Below are 22,489 nucleotides of genomic sequence, written 5' to 3' on the forward strand. Positions count from 1 at the left end.
AGGCAGGAGGAGGCCTTGCTTTGCGCACCCTGAGCATTCTCAGCTATTCAGAGCTATTCTGGTACCAGAATCATGCCTGTTCACTGGACTGGAAGCTCTTTGACGTGCTGATTTGATTTTTTTTTTCTTTTAAATCTGCTTCATGACCTTACAGAGCAGGTGTGTCCGATGCAGTCAAGTGGTAAGAGCCCTACTGTGGAATCAGGTAAACCAGGGTTGACTCTCAGCTCCACTCCTTCCTCACAGTGTGGCCTTGGGTAGGTCGCCTAACTTATCTGAATCTCTATTTTTATGTCCCCCAGAATGAGGATATTGTTTATTATTGTGTCCATTGTGAATTGTATGTAAAATGCCTAACTCAGTGTTAGACACATGCACAGTGCTCAATAAATTGTTGTCTTTGTTTGGGTTTTTATGAATCATGTTTAAGAAGTGGGTTTTGAGTCTCTAAGATATGCAATTAAAAATAAGAAAACATGGCCAGGCGCAGTGGCTCACGCCTGTAATCCCAGGACTTTGGGAGGCCGAGGCGGGTGGATCACGAGGTCAAGAGATTGAGACCATCCTGGCCAACATGGTGAAACCCCGTCTCTACTAAAAATAGAAAAATTAGCCAGGCATGGTGGCACACACCTGTAGTCCCAGCTACTCAGGAGGCTGAGGCAGGATAATCGCTTGAACCCAGGAGGCAAAGGTTACATTGAGCCGAGATCGTGCCACTGCACTCCAACCTGGGCAACAGAGCGAGACTCTGTCTCAAAACAAAAACAAAAACAAAAAAACATTAAAAGTATAAGTGCAAAGGCTTTTAGATCAAATTCTCCTGGAGAGCCATCCTAGGTTAGCTAAATTCTGACCCCATCACTCCCCTGTCTCTACCCCATCACAATGTGATTACAAATCTGTGTACAACCTGTGCTACCATCTTGGTCCCTAGCTTCTCACAGGTGGTCCCCAGATGGCCTTTTGGTCCCCTTTGTCTTCCCTCTTCCATCCATGATAATGGCACCAGATCCTGATTTCATTTGGCCAGAGACCAAGCCCAAATTTCACAGTGGGATCTGAGCTGTGTCTCACTCCTAGACCTCTTGCCAGTGCCTCGTGGTGGTCACTTTTCAGAGTCACCACTGCCAGTCAGTCCTGGAACCTGTATTGATCCACTGGACCCTCTGTTGATGACCACTGACATTGTCCCAAAGCCAGGTTCAGAATCTACCCTGAATCCCATTGCACTGGTGGGCCCCTGTCTGTACACCCACCTTTCGTCAGTATGCTTCTCAAAGTCTGTCCCTACATCTGAGCTTGCAGCCTTCTACCCTCTCCAAGGACCAGTATATTTCCTGACATGTCTTGGAGACTACCTATACTCTCCTTCATTCTCCAAGTCTCCAGCTGCCATATTGGAAATCTGGTACCAGCCAACCTTTCCCAAACCAGGACCATGACTTTCCAGATTCCCTGGTTTGGTAATACATGTGGATGTCGCATGGATGCTAAAGCCAGACCCACACACATCACTGATGGCTTCACTTGGGTGTGACAAAGACCAGGGATCCCAGTGTCTTTGACTCTGATCAGGTATTTAGAGGGAAGCCACTTTCCACTTGGCATAAAGGTAGATTCTGAGTGATATCCACAAAGAGCAGAGGCTGCCTGGCTAGGGATCTCTCCATAACTGGAAGTGTACAAAAAGGTTCTGGTGATGCCTGCCAAGAGGGTTTCTGAATAATGTATGAAGTTAGGTAAAGTGGACAGGAATGAGTCTTATAGTCAGTATGAGCAAGTCCATGCTTTCTGGATTATGTGTGCCATAGTATGTGAAAGCCAGCATTTTGTAGTGATTTATTTTGAAACTGTGTGTTTGCTTTTTCTGAGAAGCTTTCCCCACAATTGGCTGGAAAATTCCAAGTCTGAGCCAGACACCTGAGAACTGCTATGATATGGGATTGGCTGTGGGCTTAAAATCTGGACTTTCCAATGTATAAATAATCACTGATGATTTTGAAGACACAGAGCAGTCTGCAGTCTGAAGTCAACCTATAGAAGGCTTATGATTCCCTCTACCCTGTGCCAGAGACTACCTCCACCCCATTAAATAAAAAGTGTTCTGGCTCTGAAGCCACATCAAGAAGGGTGGCTTGTCTTCAAGAGGCTGAAGGATAGAGAACTAGAGGCTAGTTGAACACTAAGGTCAATCTGTCCCCCCTTCCCATTCTGGAGACTAGTAGGTTGTGGCAATGGTACTAATAGGAATGGTGTGCTGGCCCCTCCTTGGCTGTGTCTTAGACTTGCAGGAGATGCCCAAGGTGGCCTTTTAAGCAACTCCTCTGAGTCACCTCAGAGGTTTGCCTTTCCAGGCTTACCTTGGAAATGGCAATGAAGGGTGCTCAGTTGTGCAGGTTGGAGTGAACTTGCATGGCAGCTGTGTAGTGAGATGAAGCCAGGTGCAGGCTGTCTCTTCTGGGGCAGAGGTGCCCAGAAGGTGAGGGCTGGGGTGGGGTGGGGGGCAATGGTCAGTGGGAACCCATGGTCACTGCCATGCCCTGCCAGTACTCCATGAGCAATAATGGAAAGCCACTCAGTTCTCACAAAGAGATTGTCATCTACTGGTCAGCAAAGGGGAACTGAGCACCAGGTAAGAATTGGCTCTCCCTGTAAGTGAAAGGCAGGCTTTGCGCCCACACCCGGGGACAGGGTCTGCATGAGGCTCCATGAGGTCAGCCGTGCCCATACCCACACCCGTCTGCACAGGTCAGGTTGTGAAGCACCAAGTCTTCGGAGACAGAGACCATACACCATTACCATGCTGTGTGCCATGGTGCTCCACTACTCAGTGATAGCTGATTGGAATAAGAACACATGTGCATACCTCTAACACTAATAACTGGCATTTATTAAAGTGTTGCTACAGTTTAGGCCCTGTGCTAAGCCTCTGACATGGTTTTTCTCAGTTAACCTCAGAGATTATAAGACAGGTATTACAACTGGTTCCAATTTATAGATGAAGGATTTGAGGCCCAGAAGGGCTAAATGACTTGCCCGAGTTTCCACCTTATTGAGCAGCAAAGCCCGTATTTCCTTCTACGCCTGACAAGGTTCAGGTCTCCAGCTCTTCACCCTCAGTGCTAGTCTACTTCCCTCGGGAAGGAGGAGGACTATTGCCTCTGATGTGACCTGGCACAAAATTAATGGTAGAATCCCAGCTAAGATGGGGAAGGATCACATTTTGTTGATTAGAACTAGTTATGTGCTCTCCATGCAAGGCGGCTGGGAAAGGTGTCTTCTGTGAGACTTGAGAAGAGAACAGAATTGCACAGGGAGGCCCTAGCAACCCCTACCGAGTATACAGTTCCCCATGGGTGAGTGTTTGGGCCCATTCAGTGTTTCATTAATATAAACAATAATACTGCCACAAAAATGCATATCCCTATATTTGTGGAGGAAATTCACCTAGAAATAGAATTGCTGGGCTACGGGGTGCATGCACTTAGAACCAATCAATATTACAAAGTGTTTCCCAGAGGCCTTGGCCAGTGTACACTCTTCACAGCAGTGTGCATCAGGCTTCTCCACACACTGGCCTGATGATGCTATCAAGACTTTTATTTTTTGCCAAGTTGGCTGACCTCCTAGTCATTTTGATTAGTATTTCTCTGATTATAAATGAGTGTGTATTTTTTATATGTTTATTGACCAATTTAGTCTTCTGGGAATTGTCTGTTTATAACCCTTGCCTTTTTCTATATTTAAAAATTGATTTCTAGATGACAATTAATTATATGTGACACCCTGCCCTCCAGCCCTCCATTTATTTTTAACTCTGTGGATACTTGTTTTGTCATATTGAGGTTTTAAATTTTTGAACTCAAATCTGACCATCTTTTTCTTTCTGGTTTGGAGATTGGTGTCTTGAGCTTTTGACTACATTTTATATATGTCCTTCCCACTCTAAGGCATGAAAACACTCTCTTATACTTTCTTTCATTTTCTTTTTCTTTCTTTTTTTTGTTTTCTTGAGTCAGAGTCTCGCTGTGTTGCCCAGGCTGGGGTGCAGTGGGGCAATCTAGGTTCACTGCAACCTCCACCTCCCGGGTTCAAGCAATTCTCCCACCTCAGCCTCCTGAGTAGCTGGGCTACAGGTACGCATCACCATGCCTGGCTAATTTTTGTATTTTTAGTAGAGGTGGGGTTTTGCCATGTTGGCCAGACCGGTCTCAAACTCCTAGACTCAAGTGATCCCCCTGTCTTGGCCTCCCAAAGTGCTGTAGTTACAGGCGTGAGCCACCAAGACTGGGCTTTTATACTTTCTTTTAATTCTCTGTATGGTGTTTATGTTTAGTTCCTTCTTCCATCTGGAACTTTATTTTGCATAGGATGTGATATCAGTATTCTTTTTTATCTTATTAAAAATAACATCCCATGAGCTCCACCTGAATTGTCCACATTTTGGTGAGATGTTTCTTTTATTATATACTAACTGTTTGTGTATGTTTGTCTTTATTCTTTCTAATTGGTGGTTCTGTCTGTTCTGGCACCAGTTCTAAACTGTTCTAAAGATGGTAGCTTTCTGATATGTCTCAATGACTGGTGAACTAAGTCTCTGTATATTATTCATTCTCAAAAATAGCTATCCCATTCTTAAACGTTGTTTTCTTCAAGATGAATCTTACAACCAGCTTGACAAATGTCATTAAACAATCCTGTTTAATCAGGGTTGGAATTGCATTGGATATATAGATTACTTTGGGGATGATTCTCTTCTTTATGATATTCTTTATTCCATCCAGGCATGAGGTATTCAAGTCTTCTTTTACGTTCTTCGGTAAAGTTTTGTAGTCATCTTCACAGAGGTCTTGTGAGATTTAATCCTAGGTATTTTATGGTTTTGTGGCTATTGTGAATAAATAATTTTTTATTATATTTTCAAACAGGTTATGATTATTAACAGATGACAGTGTAGTGGTGGGAATAGTGAGCTTTCTTCTGCTGGGCATCTTGTGTTAGTGGACATCTAACAGAGGCTGGCCAACAGGGAGGGACTGTAGAGGGTGTTTGTCACCAGAGATACACTGACCACCAAGGTTTCATTGCATGCCGTGAATTACTGTGTCTATGAAATGTCAAAATCAGGACTTTCTCTTGGGTGACCTATAACACCCTGGAAAGTATACTTACCTTTTTCAATTTCTTTTTTGTTCTCTTGACCTTGAATTGTTGTCTTAGGAACGAGGGCCTTTTCTGGATACCTGGAGAGAGGCAGCACATGTCTCTTTTACAGCTGCGTAAGCCAGTGCCTGGAAGTTATCCATGAATATTTAACCCACAGTCACTTCCCAGCTGTTATCTTGATGCCAGTCTGATCTGCGGTCTCTAGAAAAAGATGGAAAATTATGACAACTAGAAAAAATTGTGTCATCTAGGAAGGGGGCTCTTAATCATTTTTGATGGACTGTGGAGATGCAGGACTCCTCCCCGGGCATCCCCATCTCTCAGGAATGGTGGAGAGATAGGACTTCTGACCATACAGTAGCCCAGAGGTTCCATCCTATCTGCATGCAGCAGGGACTCCTCCAGTCTGGTCCAGGTGGTTGTCTTCTTGTAAAAGAAACACCTTAGAAGTCCCATACCCTTCCCTCATCAGTGCCTAGTATCCAAAAGTTCAGCAGAGTATGTGTTGTGTGGAACTAGCCAGGTTCTGCACTCCTGAGAGTGGCTTGCGAGGAGCTGAGATCCTTTACCTGCAAGGCTTTCATCGTATGTGACCTCCATGCCTGATGGACTTTGGCCCAGTGGCTACCAACCAGATCTCCAGATGCAAAGCAAATTCCTATCCAGATCTGAATCTCCACACTTGCATCTGCATGGAGAGAATTACTGAGCTCTGGGCTGTATCAGGATATGCTAAATCAAACGAGTAGTTTTGGGTGGTTCAGGGCCTGAGTGCATCAATTAGAAATAATGTCCAGAACAAGGAACTCTGTAGAAGTTCTGTCCTGTAAGACCTATTCCTCTGTTGTGCCAAAGACTGAAGTGTGTGTCAATGTCTTTTCACTTCAAGAAGACTCTAACCGGCTTGCTTGGACTGTTGCCTCCAGTGACAGCAAATGCCTTGGAGCCTGTCCTGGCAGGATGTGGCCTGGTATGGTGATCTTTCAGCAGGAAGTGCTCTGGGGATTCTTCCTCTGAGACACTAGATCAGAGGTGCTGTGAGCAGGGCTTGGCACAAGGACCCTACCTAAAGGCCTGGGAGAACCTATACAGGAGGTCTGCTTGGGGTCTCAGGGGCCCTAGGCAAGGAGATGTTTTTCCTGCTTCACAGGGCCTTCAGGTCAAGTGTTCTGCACAAAGTCTTTTTTTTTTTTTAATTGTACAGGTGTGCACTTGGTCCCTGTTTCCCTTCTAGAAAGTGAATAGATGGAAAGGGACTCCCAGATAACTATATCAGGCAGTCCCTTATGCATATGAAGTACACTAAGGATCACAGAATGCTTTAACCTATGTTATGCCATTTGATTCTCCCATAAAGAGGGCAGTGTTCCCTCCAAGTTCCCGTAGCACAATGCCTGGCCATCTCCAGGCTCAGGGGGATAGATCTCCACTAGCTTTGTCAGTCAGTGGTTTGTGTGGCTGTTGTGCAGGTGCCTGTCTCCTTTGCAGACCTTCAGCTTCTCAGGGTAGACATCGGTGAACTTTTCATAAACCCACATACACAGCACAGCACACAGGAGGGTCTCAATAAACACAGATGGATTGATCTGTCAAGGATCAATGAATGATTAGGCTGAGAGAAGATAAGTGACTGCTTAAGGTCACACTTTGGCAAGGCTAAGACTCAGCCCCAGTTTTTTCTTTGAGTCCAGTGCATCTTTCCTCACTGTAGAAAGCTTTTGATGCTGCATTTCAGGGGTATGAAAGGGGTCTTGAAAGCCATGTCTTTAAGATGACATGACCTATAGTTCTTGACTTGGAGCATTTCCAGGGGATTTTCAGGGGTGGCAGCATATTGTACCTTTCCACTCTTTGGCCCCACCTTGAGCCACAGCTAGAAGATTCAACCTTCTATCCATCTCCCGCATGGATAGTAACCTGAGACTAGTCATAAATACCTCCCTACTGAGGTGCACTGCCTCCCAGGATCCAGGGGCCTCAGCCATCCTCTAAGGGCTTCTGCAGCCTCAAGGAAACCTAGACTCTCAGACTTGAGCTCAGGCTAGGTAGAGGGGCTGTCTCTTTTCCCAGAATGTATAATCTACTTCCTTTCTTCCAGACAATTGGCTCCATTGAAGCAGGAGAAACAATAAGTACTTTCTACAAACACTGGTTTTGGTAAAATGTGTAGCACTAGGCTCTTTGATGCTCCTGAAATCCCTCTCAGCAGGGTCCCTCCTTGTTTTGACTAATCATTTCTTCTTATTACTAACTGTTATGATTAGGAGAATTGCCTGAGTACAGGCCCAGTGTTTCCAAGACCCTAATGAGCAACACGTGCAGACTCGCTTAGCATAGTCCTGGAATCATGGTTGTTCTGTTTCCTCAGGGAAGCTGCTGAGATGCCTCAGGGACAGGAGCTTTTTCCTGCCTCTGTGAAATCTTTCCCCAGCCCCCAGAAAATGCTTTGCATCACAGCTGTGTTGTACAGCATTAGGTGCCTCTACCCCAGGTGGAAGAGTTGTTAAGGATGAGATTTGGAACCTGCCAGCCCTGCACTCAAGTCTTGGTTCCACCAGTGCATGAGTTGGGCAAGTTTCTTTATACTCTGAGCTAGAGTTTTCTCATGATTAAACTGTAGACAATAGTTCCTACTTCAAAGAGTGTTGGAAAGATAAGATTACATTAAGTAATCCACAAAATACCTAAGACAGTACTTTGCATACAGTATTTATCAATAAAAGAAAATTCAAATTTCCATGTTGACCTCCACTGCTTTCAGATGCACCTAGTATCCAAAAGTTCAATTTCTCTTTCTTGGTTCCAAAGACAATTCAAGGGCAAGTAGAAATCTGCTCCAGGGAAAGGACCCAAAATTGGTCATTTGGGCAGTGATATGAACAAGTTTCATCAAGTCAGAGCCATGTCCACAGGAAGGCAATGGGACAGGGAGCCCTTTTGGTCACCTAGAAGGCAAGCACCATGCCCAGCACCAGTGCTGGGCATGCATACCCATGTAGCAAATATGCCTCCGCTAGTGACTGTGTGACCACAGACAAGACATTCTGTCACTCTGGGCCTTTGTTTTCTTATTGTTAAGTTGGGGATAATAATGCCTCATAGAATTTTGAGAGAAAATAGTGACATAGTATCTGTAAAAAGACTGTTCGTGCTGTTCAGAGATGTTACAAAGTATTCAGAATCTGCCTCTTCTCATCTCCTCTGCTGATGTCATTCTGGCCCAAGCCACCATCACCTCTCCCCTAGATGACTGCTGTGTCCTCCTGATTGGTCTACCTTCTTCCACCTTTATCCTCTTCTAGCCTGTCCTCCACAAGGCAGCATAAGTCTAAGCATGCCATTTCTCTGCTCAGAGCCCTCCTTACAGTAACACCTCATTTACAGTAAAATTCCTGGCAGGCTGAAACCAGGACTTATGAGTCTGCCTCCCCCACTACCTTTCTAATCTTTATTATGACCCCTCTACTTCTTGATTGTTATATGGCAACCATGCTGCTTCCTTGATCTTCCTCAAAGAAGGAACCAAGTACATTCCCACCTCAGGGCCTTTGCACATGCCGGTCCTTTGGGCTGGGGAACACTCCCTCTAGATATTTGCATTGCTTCTGTCTCATCACACTCAGGTCTCTGTCCAGATGGCCTCTGCTCTGAGAGAGCTCCCCTCACCACACCAGCATGCTGTCTCCCCTCCTCCTTCTCTGTGTATCATCAGAGCCCTATGACTGCTGATACTATTCATTTATCTACGTATTGAAATGTTTTCTGACTCCTTCACTAGAGAATAAGCTCCATGAGGGCAGTGTCTGTGTCACTGTCTTCACATTCATCATTACCATATAACAATGAGTTAAAAATTACAGCTGCCAATAGAGAAGCCATCCTAAGTGACTGGCACTGTTCTAAACCTTTACTTACACTGCTCAATTGGTAGTCCATTACAACACTCCTATGGGTTGCTGTGATCATCATGCAGATTTTACCAGTGAATATGCTGAGGCTTAGATAGGCTATGCCAAAATCCAGAATTCAACTCAGTTCTGTCTGTATCTGAAGATCTGTGACCTCCCATCCTTAGTAATTTGCTACTGGGGTTCATTTAAAGCTGATTTCAAAGGTGGTATAAAATTTTCTCTGATAAGGTTGTGCTCACATGGCTGTTAGAAAAAGTAGACCAACATGATTTCCCTGAGCTTTAATGCCCTCTCCTCCTTGCCCCAGTGAGATATCCTACACTTTGAGGACAGGAGCCTCAAAGGATGCCTGAGCTTGCGGTGAGACAGGCATCAGCCAACCTTCTAGCCAGCACCTGCTGCTTTGGACCCTCAGCACAATTCCCTCTCTTGAAGGGACACCTCAGAATTTCAGACACCACTTATTCCATATTGAGCAAAACCATGTCCCATATGTCTGGTATTCATTGTCGGCAGATTGCAGACAATGCTTGGTCTGTTTTTTTCTGAAGATCCTGAGCCCTTCCAAGCTTCTGCTATTGAGAGGTGGATGTCTTTGGCATCCTTTAAATTACTTACCAGTCTGTCCACTTTGGTGCCACTAGTTTCCACAGGCCCCTGGTAACTTATTCCTCGTTTCCCATATTGCCTCAGTAACCTCCCTCCCCTATGGTAAAACAGGGCAACTCTTGCACCACTGACCTCTGTTATTGGGATCTTATTATGATGCCTGACATAGAATCTTTAGAAGCACCCCCACTGTTGGCCAGAGAACTCAGTGAAAGGGACAGAGAACACATAGGCTTATGCCACTCTCCAAGGTCCTGAACCAACATGCTGCAAAATATCACAGCCCTTTCCTCTATGATGCTGGTCATTCCTGTCTGATGTGCTCCTGTTGAGGGAATGATGGAAAAGGAATTACTATCATACTTAGGAGGAGCAAGAGAAGGAGAGGAAGAGAGCTGAACTTAGGCTAGAGAGTGTCATAACCACAAATGGTACTTAGAAAGAATAAAGGTTTGGTGTTGTTTTCTTTTGTTTTGGCATTGTTTTCAAATAACCATTTATCAAGAAGAAACAACCACTGCACATGAAGCTGAATTCATGTTTATTTGATAATGGTCTACATCCCTGACAGTTGAAACTTTCCCTCTTTTGGCTTATGTTATCCTCCAATCCATCCTGCTTTTAGCCGTGTGTGCCATACTTTGGGCTAGGTATAATAACCAGCCTGACTTTTTTCCCTGCATATTTCGCCCCCATAGAAGACCTCTTCAAACTTCTACAGCCCCCATTTCCCTGTCTGCTTCTGCTTCTTGAATTCTGCTTCCCCATAACATCTCAAAGACCCTTTTACCTTCTCCAGGGCGCCTTCCAATCACTCAGACATGGTTCCTTTAAGTAGCTGTGTCACAATAACCAATGGAGAAAGAAACACTCTGGTAGAATCCTTATTTTGAAAATTGAATTCTGGACCATGCTACTTTCCCAGTCACTCACACCACAGTCTCTCCCACCATCCATACGCCTGATATCATTTTCTGGTCACCCTCTCTACCACCTCTTCACCTTTATTCTATATTGAAGAGTGCTAAAGTTGATATTGAAGTACATATTCAATATTGAACTTCATATTGAAGTAATTTTTCCAAACTACAATCTTGAATCTTCTCAGCCATGGAGAACATTACATTTGTTGCTTTCCTGACTGATAATACCTAGGAGTCTTGAGTATCAAGTGTCCTTCCTGGCTTATTCCCAGACCCCACTGCAATTCTTTCACCTAAAGAGAGAAAGAAAAGAGGGCACAGTTTGCTGTGGGAGTAAAGGAAAGGTTTCCTTTCCCATAGGTCAGGGGAGGACAATGAATACCAGATACCAAGTCAAAGTCAGGCTACCTCTAGGGAGGCCAGGAAGCAGAGATACAGGTACAGACAGAAGTCACAAGCCCAGTACCTAATAAGAACTGGACCCATTCTGGAGACACAGCCCCATGCTCAAGGCTAAGGTTCTGCCCCTTGGTAGAAGTGCTTGCTGGGGCTAGGTGGCCAGGAAGGTGCAGATTGGGGCAGGCAGACTCCAAGGTGTTTCTGTGACAGGTACCAGAGATCATCTCTGAATCTATTGATTTGCACTGGTCATGTCTTTTCCCAAGCATCTGTAACACCTTGCATCTGTACCACTTTGATCCTTTACTGTATGTGTTCACAGTTTCCAGCACTCCTTAGGTATGGGCTCCTACATCAGGTTTCCCCAACATAGGTTCCATGACCTCACGGCTTTCACAGTCTTTAGCATAATTCTGAATGAGAGGTCTCTGCTCAAGAAAGGGTGGCTGAATTAGGTCAGTCTTAATTACATGAGCAGGTGAAGATTCCCGATAATCCAATAATGACAATACAAATACTACTACTACCACTAGCCTCTGATGTTACTCAATTTCTCTGTGGACCAGCTACAGTTAAACTCTTTAGGCATGTCATCTCATTAAATTCTCTGACCTACCATCTTTCAGATAAGGAAACTGAGACTTAGAAGTTCACTTTCTCAAGGTCAACCAACTAGAGAATATGTTTTAACTTGGTTACTGTGAACACTTAGGAGGATCATCGGTTGGTTTCGGGGGACTAAGAACCCCCTCAGAGTCTGAAAAATCATGTGTTGCAACACGTGTTCACTTTTCTGGGGGAAAAGCTTTGTTGCTTTTATCAGATTCTGTAAGTGGTCATGCACAGAGTAGGGAGGGCCCCACCTCTGGCCTGATGCAGAGGAGCATGATCCCAGCCTGAATGTGGGGTTTTCCAGGGGAGTGTTTCTCCCAAGTTATAGCTCCAACCTTGTGGACAACCACTGTGGTTGCCACCTTCACCATCACCCAATGGGGAGGGATCCCAGGACACAGACCCTGGCTTCAGCAATGCACAATGAGCTAGACCCGACCTGCTTGGCACCTTGTACCAGCCTGAAATTTACTACTAAATTCTGAGACCAGAAGGTTAGCCTTATTAAGATTCCTGATAAAGGAATTGGCTTTGGGGGCTTACCTGTCTTCAGCAGATTTTCACTTTGATTACTCAGGAGTGCTCTTATTTCCAGCTTAATGCCTGCAAATAAACTCACCCGCTCTCTCCCACACACCCTGTCTCACCATTCTTTAAAAAATCATCTGGCCCAAATCACATTAAGAAGCAGGAGATTCTATCTTAATATGGTAGCACTTGGGCTGGCCCTGTGGGTCTAGAAGGATCCTGTTTAACTCCAGTGACAACCGTGCTCCATGCAGGCTAAGCCAACCTCTCAGGCACATCCTGGAGGACATCGGAGACCCATCTTCAAAACTCATGACCAACCACACTCCCTCCTCACCCAAACAGAAAATCACAGCTCAACACTTCTCCCATCCTTTAAAAGGACTGAATTTCCTTAGCCCTTTAAACAGAATGCATTCATCAGAAGTAACCGTGGCAACAGATCAGAGAGGCTTCAAAAAGCCTGTCTGTATGTAATTAAGAAAAATGAGGAAGAGCATGGAGCTTAGACGGGGAGACCACGGTGCTGAGCCCTGCCACTGCATTCACTGAGGGCTTTTGCGGAAGGAGATGGCAGATTTTCTTTCTCTGTTCTGGCTTCCCTCTCTGCTCCCCCTTGTAATGTTTTTGTTTAGTGGTCTCAATTGGCCTCCTTCCTGGAGATGTTGCTGGGGTCCCAGATTCTGGATGAATACTCCCTGCAAGAGTAGGGCTCCAAGCCAAGGAGGCAATGCCTGGATGGGTAGGGAAGTGGCTTAGCATCTTCCTCCAGGGAGGTTTATGCAGACGCCAAATCTACCCTGGTCAGACTTTCATTTGGCCATAGGGAGACTGAGCAGTCTACCTGCAGGAATATGCCCATCTCATCAGGATGCTACGGCACAGACACCTGGGGCCATCATCATTTTAACCACCCAGACATGAGGCCCTGGCTTGCCAGCCCTGGAGCGGGCCTCATGGGAATAAGAGACAGACAGAACCCAGCATTGTTAGGAGGCCATCTGAGCCCTGGTGCTTTTTTTTTCATAACACTTATTCTTATTTAAAATAATTTCATTTATTTCTCTGTTTCCTTCTATTCTATTAGTTTTCTCTCACTGGAATATAAGCTCCATAAGAGAATAAGCTTGCCTGTCTTGGTTTTTCTGCCTCTCAAGTGCTGAAAAGAATGCCGGGAGTATTAGTTACGGGAGTAAATGAGTGAATGAGTAAATAATGAATGGTCATTTTTTTGTGGCCCAGATTCTGTTCACCTCCACAAATATGCACTGGCACTTGCTCTGTGGGAGGAAGAAGACACACCCCTGCCCTCAAGGAGGCAGGGGAATGATACACCGCAGGGCATGTCTGGCTCTCCTAGCCCTCTGAGTCCATTCTCCAGGGAAGGCCCTTAATGTCTGTTTCTGCTCCTTGGAAGGAAGGGATTCAGATTTATGTACTCCTGCACTCAACAACCATGACCTTCACAAGCCCCTGTTCATGCGCCACAGATGCATTTGCTCTGAAAAGCACACATGAATGGGAAGGGGGCAGTGGCTGCTTTATATGAAGACGTTTATTAAAACAACATGGAAAAAAACCCTTCCCCTGGAATGGGGGGTGGGGGTGGGGGAGGAAACTCACTGCATTTCCTCCTGAGCAGCTGGGAGTAAATGAACAGACATGGAGCAGCATCGACAAGGGTGGGTCTTCCCAGCTGTCAGGGAGGCCACTAGATGAGAGACTGGGCAAAACTCTCCATCCAGCTCTTCATTTGCCACCTTTGCCTCACCAAAGCCTCTGCCACTCAGAGTAACAAGCAGTGGGTCATCACTGATTACTGCTGCTACTTCAAGGCCTCTCCAAGGCCCCTCCATCCACCTACAGCAAGGCATCCTGTCTCACGCTGGAGAGGGGTATATACATGGGACCTTTTCCATGCACACTGAGCAAAGGTAGAAAACCAGGTGGGAGGGCAAAGTGCTGTCTGGGGATAGTAATTACAGAAACAGACCAGACAACTGCCCCTGTCTACCAGGAGGCTACAGTGTGGTGAGGATGACAAAGAGGAAGAGACTATCACAATGCAATGATGGAATCTGACTTAGGCACCTGGAAATGAGCTATGGAAGCCCAGATAGGGAGATCATGACTGCTGGGCCTCAGGGAAGGGTCCTAGTGGAATGGGTGCTAGACCTTGAAGAGTGAGCAGGAGTTCAAGTTGATACAGAGGGAAAAGAACTTGTGACAGAGGGAAAAACATTGTGTAGAGGCTCAGAGATAAGAAGAGAGTTTAGTGTGCACAGGAAATTTCAGGAACATTTCTATTAGCCAAAATATGAGGGGTGAAGGTCAACTGCCAGGGATGAGATCAAGAAAAGCAAGATCCCACGGGGGCTTGAATGACATGGAAAGGAGGGCAACCATTTTGGATAGTCAGGAAGCAGGGGGGAAATTGTGCAGAAGAACGCTATGACTCCATGTGCAATTTAGAACTCATACTCTGGCAGAAGAGACTATATCGGAGAAATGCAGAAGCAATGTTGGAGAATTAATTAGGAGGCTTTTGCAATAGGGTAGGAAAAATGATGAGGCCCAGAATTCTGAGGCCATGAGGATAGAGAGGAAGGAACATGTCTAAGGAAAAGTAGAGGAAGATGGACAGATTGTGCTAATGGTCCATGTGTTAGGTGATACAGAAGATGTGGCTCCCAGGGCCTGACTGGTGACTACACAGGTATCAAAGAAGGTAAGGATTGAATTGTGTTCCCTGGATTTGTCACATAGAAAGCCAAAGGAAAAGCAGTCATGGCAGAGAAGTGGGGAAGTAATCAGACTTCAGTTGGCTGAGCAGGGAGAGAGGAAAGACAGTAAGTGTAGGCTCTTGTTTGCAAAAGCTTGGCTGAGCCAAGAGTAAAGAAGAGAGGGTGTGCAATGTAGATAGATGCCAGGTGATGATGTTTTGGTTTGAAAATGGCAAAGACTTGTATGAGTTTACATTGAGAAGCTGGAGTCAGTGGGGAGAGTGTAGCTGAAGCTCAAAGGAGAGAGGAAATAATTGAAGGAGGAAAGTCTCAATGGGTGAGAGGGATGGATGATCACTCTCTTGGTCAGTGCCTGCCTCTGCCCCTTCACCCGAGGCTGCTTTCTGAGTGATAGCCTCAGGATGTCCCAAGGATGCAGTGAGATAAAAAGATTCACCCCACACCTAGTATAAAGCAAGCACTCAGTGAATGCCTTTACTTTGAGATGAGAAACAGGGGCCCGCGGGTGAGTCTAGGCTCTCTGCTATAGAAGTGAGACTAACAAGAGTTGCGTTGACTGCTGAGAGCTTGTGGTATGAGTCCCATCAGTCAGAAGCAAACAGATGTGTCCAAGACAGGCAGTGACCAATATGGATGGTAATGAATTGTGCAGTGTGTGTCAAGGTTGGCCCAGCCCTGTAAGAGCCTACCTGGGACAGTACTGACTGCCTTCCCAGCACTAGCTATGTGATTATTTGAAAAGAGATGGATGTTTATTCCTGGGCAGATGGGTGGGGAATTCTTGAATGCTGTTTGCAAGACTTCAGTAAAAATGCTCCATGAATTCTGCCCTGTCACATGCGTGCATGAACGCTGTGCTTTAGCTCAGGCCTAATGGGCTTTATATGGTACAGTACTGATTTTCTTTCAAGTTTTAATAGAACCCGATTTAATATTTGCTTTCTGCTCTAGCTGCTTGCTGTTGACTGATTCAACACAGAATCCTTCCCTGGTGCCCCCCGACCTTATTGTTATTCCCTCATTTTTTGTGTTGGCATTTGATTCCTGTCTCCAGCATGAACCACTTTACACATGTCTTCGTTCAGCTGGTGACAGTCACGTGCATGAATTCTGAATGCATTACTATCTGAAGCGGCTGCTCCAGCAGACCTGCCATTCGAAAGGGGGGCTTCCGGGCAGGATTCATTTTTATCAGTTAGACACTGAGGAGATGCAAGGCTCAGGCTTGGGAACCTGAGGCTATGATCTGTTCTGGTTTTGGGCAGCAGATTCTCCAACTTAATCTCAAAATGCCCAGCATTGTGGCCGTTAATTCAGCAATATTTTGCTCTTCTGTGAAGCACCAGGATTTCCACAGTTTTGCAACAAGGCATTTCAGTTTTTGCCAGATTGTGAAAAGTAGCCATAAACAGAGCTTTCCAGAGGAAAGAGGCTGCCCTCTGTGAGTCCCAGTGAGCCTGTCTGGTTTGTAAGAGAAGGTCTGTTCAGAGCAGGGCTATAGTTGAGAACGTGAGCTTTGGAATCCCGCAGGTATGGGCTTTCACACTGGCTTCAGTTCTTACAGAGCTATGCGATCTATAGCCAGCCTCCTTTCTAAGCTTTACTTCCCCTTTCTATTAAATTGAGATAATTATTTTATCTTCCTGGTAGGGGTCTTTGGGGGGAATAAATAAGGTAATGTATATAAAGCAGCTAGCAGAATGTCTAAACACATTCCTGTGTTTTCTTACGTCATGGGGCCCAAAGTGACTACATGAACCTCTTCCACTCAATTCTGCTTCTTTTCTCATGTGCCAAAGCTGGTCCAATGTAAATATACATCTATTCAGGTGCTCTGGAAGCCTGTCCCTACAGAGATGCATCCCTGCTACCACGCACACACCAGATAGATCCCAAATGTGTGAGATTTTGTGCAGAATTTCAGAATATGTTAGGGTTTTTGGAGGGGCCACTCATATCCTTCTACCCTTGAGTTCTACACCAATTAAGATTAGACAAAGAATCCAGTAAATGTTCAATATATATACATTTTATTAACCCTAAACCTGGCTGGAGGATGTGGCTTGATCCTGAGAGCAAAAGGCCTTAAACCCAGGTCCTGGAACCGTCTTTCCCTTGGCACACATGATTGAAAGAAGAAAAGCCTCAGTGAAGATGACTGAAATGGGAGCTAGGGACAAGTTGTCATCTCTGTTCACCTATTCTTCTTTTAAAATGAATTGAAGCATAGCCATTTGGGGTTGAGGAAGGAGTGGGAGGCGAGCGCACTGATGAGGTTGGGAATGCACCAGAGGCAGACAAGAGAGCTGCCGGACAAGGAAGCTTATGTCTAGCCTCACTGGACCTTCTTTGTCTCCCTGCAGGCGTCCCATCAGGTCCCCGCAATGTTATCTCCATCGTCAATGAGACGTCCATCATTCTGGAGTGGCACCCTCCAAGGGAGACAGGTGGGCGGGATGATGTGACCTACAACATCATCTGCAAAAAGTGCCGGGCAGACCGCCGGAGCTGCTCCCGCTGTGACGACAATGTGGAGTTTGTGCCCAGGCAGCTGGGCCTGACGGAGTGCCGCGTCTCCATCAGCAGCCTGTGGGCCCACACCCCCTACACCTTTGACATCCAGGCCATCAATGGAGTCTCCAGCAAGAGTCCCTTCCCCCCACAGCACGTCTCTGTCAACATCACCACAAACCAAGCCGGTAAGTCTGGAGGCTTCTGTGCTCCTGTTTGGATGTGTGGCTGGCTCTTTGTCTCTAGGCAGGGACACAGCTGCAGCCACACCCATCCTGCCCGTGTACTGTCAGGCCTCTGCCCAGGAGTGAAGGTGTCAGGTGATGGGCATTTGTGATCACATAGAGCAGGCAGGTGTAGTGTTGCGCTTCTGAGAATGAGCTGCAGACTAGGGGATTTTCTTGTGCCCAGCACAAAAGCAAAGAGGTATATCCAAGCCAGAATAGGACCTAGTGCTCTTCATCCAGCCTGAGCTCAACAAATCCTGTTGGAAAGATGGATGAAGAGATGGACAGACAGGTGTGTGAGTGGACAAACAGAGGATTGTGTAAATGGATGGACAGATGGACAGAGGGCTAGGTAGGTGGACAGATGGATGGACAGACAGATGGTGAGTGAGTGGAGGCACTGAAAGACTTTGAGAACAGGACGACAAATGATGCTTTATGGAAACCCAATGACAGAAATTTTCCAGAGATCATATGATAAAATCAATATTACCTTCATTTTCCAATTAAATCTATGTAGTTCAAAAGTGTATTCTCCTTTATAGCTTGCTCTGATGAATGATATGCTGCTGTTGAGACCTCAGATAGATGGCAATAGATCGCTCCTGATAGCCAGCACATCCTTGTGGGATGCATAGCTCAGAACACATTTTCTTCCTCTTTATTTCTGAATCTTACACTCTTCTGATCTTTTCTCTTTATTACTTTTCACAGCTCTTGCAAGAATCTGTTTATTTTTATATCAATTTAACGAGTCCGTTCATGCACTTATTTATTCGTTCATCATTAAGAGACAGTCATTTAGCATGTACTGTGTGCCACGCTGTGGATTAGACACAGTGAAGGATGCAGTGATACTTGGACACTATTGTTCCTCCCATGAAACTCATTAACTGAAGAATTTAGAGGATATAGATACAAAGCACAAAGCTGCAAGGTAAAATGCTATATGCATGCAGTAAATACCAAGGGAGTTAGAGAAAAATGAGCAATCTCTCTCCCGGGGTTACCGTGCAAGGCTGCAGAGGGGAAGTGAACATCACATGCACAGGCAATGGGGGTCATAGGCAGTGGACCGTGATGCTATTTGGAATTATAGATTTTTCTCAATTAACAAATTCTAAAAGGACAGCTTGTTAGTAGAATAGCAGGAGCCAAGCATCTATCTCTGCTCTCTCTTCCTCTGTGTATCTCCCCCTCCCTGACCTCCTCTTTTCTACTCCATCCTTTTCTACTCACCTCCCCACCCTCAGACTCATTCTGCTTCTTTTAAAACCAGGCATCTTAGGCATCTTTGATGGCATATGAATCTTGAGTTTAAGCTGTCAGAACTGAGAAGAAAAAAGGTGTCGTAGGAGAGCATGTCTGTCCAGATGGCTGTGTTGCTGCTGTGTGTGGGTGTGTGTGTGTGTGTTCATGTGGTGTGTTTGTATGTATGTGTATGGTCACGTGTTTACATGCATACGTGTGTAGTGAGAAAATAAGAGTGGAAATGTAGAAGCCTCCAGCTGGTGACCACAGTGTTGGTGCCGTAGAGACAAAGGTTGTGACATTTTGTCTTACCCAAAGAAAGGAGAATGGTAATTTCTGCATTATGTTAAGCATGTAACATGGGCAGCCTTTGTTAGCAGTATTTCCCTTGAAGAGTTTAGGCAGAAAACTGGCTGAAATATTTTAGTGTCCCAGCTTTTGGGAATGACAATCCTGCCAGGCTGTCATGTTACACTGGGCTTGGCTGTCTTTTCTCTCTCTCTAAGCATGTGCGAACAAACCTGCCACTTATATCGGTTTGCTTTTATTTCTGCCCTCCCTTCTCTTACCCTGCTATTCCCGAACCTGCCCATCTGCTTGTCTTGCCATCTGCACCTTCCTAGACTGCAGTGGAGCTGGGGGACCAAGGCTCTTGCAAGGGGCCCTGCATTACCAACATGCAAAATATTCATTTGTATCCTCACCCTTTTGCACCTCCATGAGCACACTTCTCATGTGCTTTGTTCCCCCTCTGGCAGGCCCTTTAATCTTAATCATCCCCGATTTTGTAGTCCTAGCCTCCATTATCACCTTCCAATCTATGATTCCCTGTTTGGTAACTCTGGAATTCTGGTGTCAGAGAGTTTACACTCGCTGAGAGAAGGATGCAATTTCTTCTTGGTAGCACATGGTTATTGTAAAACAAATATCAAGTTGACCAGTGGTTCCTAATCTATGGGCTGTGGACTGAGGAACAGGGTGCCATCGCACTGATTTGATGAATCTATGTGTAAATACAAATTATTTTCAACCAACAGATAGTATTTTTTTAAAGATGAGAACCATCAAAGTAAACATTCAAACCTGAACTTCTGTGAGAACAGTTTAGAACCATGAACAGAAGCTATGCATTTTACCAGAGGTGGACAAGAGACTAAAAAGTAGGCATCATAAAAACTCTAATGACTCAGATCCATTAAGGGCTGAGGTGGGTGGACCCATGTGTTACCAACAGGTCATGACATGTCTAACCTTCCCAGAATACCCCTGAGCTGGTCCACTCTAGCTCACACTGGGTCAGATCTAGCTCAGTCTTCCTCCCCTGGCTTCATGGTATGGTATGACCCCTCTCTGTGCCTGTGGCCACCTGTCCTACTGTTTGAGTCATGAGTAGCTAGATGGCAGGCAAAGAATTTGACCAAGAGGAGTCCTGGGATCAATCATTAAGTCAACCTGTGTTTATTGAATGCGTACTCTATGTCTGGAACTGCCCAAACTGTGAAGTGGCTGGGGACTATTGAGTGGGTCCTGATTGAGAAATAGATGAGTAATAATTATTATAGTTAACACCTCATGTTTGTGTTTCTTTTGAGTTCACAAAGAATTTTGGAATTGTGTGGACTCATTTAATCCTCATAATTACACAATGACTTGGGGATTATTGTTCCTATTTTTCTAATAAGAAAGCAGAGACTTAAAGGGATTTGGAGAATCTAGGATTAGAAAGAGATCAGCAGGATGTCCCTTGTCTGTGTCTGCCTTGTGGTGTTCTGTCCTAAAAGTGGACAGTACCTCTGGGCTCCCCATTTCATAGTCTCCAACAATAGGCTCTTCTTGATTCCAAGAGCTGTGATCTAAGAAGAGACCTTGGAGATTTTTGCTATCATTTGTTTTTTGGTCATTGGGCACATGGTAGATACAGTTTTTCACTCAGAGACAGGCTTGTCTGTTGAGTTCTGAGATTCAGAGAGCCTTCATCTTCTCCCATCATGACCCCAATTATGTATATAGTCATGACTATTCAAGGACCAGGTATCACTTGGAGAGTTTCAGGACTGGATCCTTACCCAGTCCAAAGGCAGTGGCAGAGAACTGACATCTTTGAGCACCTCCAATGTGCCAACCCCTACCAAGTGTTTTGTTTTTGTTTTTGTTTCTGTTCTTTTTACAGAGAAGGTGGGTCAGATGAAGAAACTTAGGTCAGAGCAGTTTTGAATTTGCTCAGCATCTCACAGCCAACAAAGGATTCTAAGAAACATCATTTGCACCTCCCTAGGCTGCAGATATTTCTGAGAAACATCATTTCTTGGCTGTGAGATGTTTTGTGGCCATTTTATCCTCAGACTGATGAAAAATCACATTATAGTGGACTGTGTAAGTCGTAAGCTCTCTCTAAGCTGTTGCCACATTGCTAGGCCATTTTAGCTGTCAAAAACTGTCCATCATCTTTGGTCAGGATTGGTCATGAATTATGCAAGCTCAGATTTATGTGAGGTCTTCAGGGATACATCCTTGCACTGAATACAGCTGCCATGAGTTTAAAATAGACCAGATCAGGTGCAACTCTCTCTGTTCCAGTGGCCAAGTGATCTGCAGAGAGATTGTTATCACCACTAACTCCTGCAGTCACTCTCTGGCATCTGGCCCCAGATTCAGACTGATGGCCGGATCATCTGGCTGTCAGAGAGAATTAAGTGAATGACAAACTTTACTTCTCTCTTCTGTCAAATAGACTCGGAGTGTCAAAGTTGGAAAAGAAGACCTCAGAGGAAATCTTGGGGGTATAAAAGATGAATCAGACCAGCACATGAGCTTGGGACCATCTAAGCCAGAGAACAAACTCAAAGACCCCTAAGGCCAGGCAGGTAATGGAGAGGAGCAAAGCAGAGCCAGGTACAAGGCAATAGAGAGTGGTGGGGACTGCAGGGAACTTTAGAGGCAGCCATTGTTCAGCTCCAGCAAGAGTTGCATGCCCAGCACTGCCTGATTTTATAAGCTGAAAATCCAGATTTAAAATGTTGACAACTGATTAGAAAATTTTAAAGCACTTGAGAGCCAAAGAAATCCAATTCTGGATTTAGCCTGTTGGCGATGGTTTGTAACCTCTGATTCAGAGGGTGAATCTGATTAACCCAAGTCTTACTGCCAAGCATGCTCTGTTTTCCATTCTCATTCCACCACGGGGCAGTCATCTTCCTCACCTCTGGGCTCATGGTGGCAGAGTGCTGTGGGGTATTCCTGGGGTTGCTTCCCCTCTCTGCTCCTCACATGAATCATGCAAGTTCATTTAACTGGCAAGATCCCTCATTTCTTGCCTATAAAACAGGTGTCATGATACCTGCTTCCTAGTACTATAGGGACAAGCAAATGAGAGAGCAGATAGAAAATCACTCTGTAAACTATGCTATGGACTGAGAGATTAGCATCATTTCTGGGAATATGTCTTCAGCTAGAGAGCAATTTGCCGTATTTTTTCTCCCTAGACTGTTTCCTTCCAAGCCTTCACAGTTTCTTTGTTTGGGACTGATGTTATCTGTATCAGATACATAACAGATATTGGTTTCTCCAGTCTGTGCTGGGAGGGGTAGGCACCAGAAACGAAAGTA

General features: G+C 45.2%; 1 protein-coding gene across 1 annotated transcript in view; it reads left to right on the forward strand.

Moving 5' to 3' along the window:
- EPHB1 (EPH receptor B1) overlaps nucleotides 1-22,489 on the forward strand; it is a 465,208-nt gene that overhangs the window by 320,196 nt on the left and 122,523 nt on the right. Inside the window, exon 5 of the mRNA NM_004441.5 lies at nucleotides 17,259-17,594. Within this exon, the coding sequence (NP_004432.1) occupies nucleotides 17,259-17,594 (336 nt within the window). The remainder of the gene's footprint in view (nucleotides 1-17,258; nucleotides 17,595-22,489) is intronic.

The sequence above is a fragment of the Homo sapiens genome, chromosome 3 (assembly GCF_000001405.40).
Source record: "Homo sapiens chromosome 3, GRCh38.p14 Primary Assembly".
NCBI classification, from domain to species: domain Eukaryota; kingdom Metazoa; phylum Chordata; class Mammalia; order Primates; family Hominidae; genus Homo; species Homo sapiens.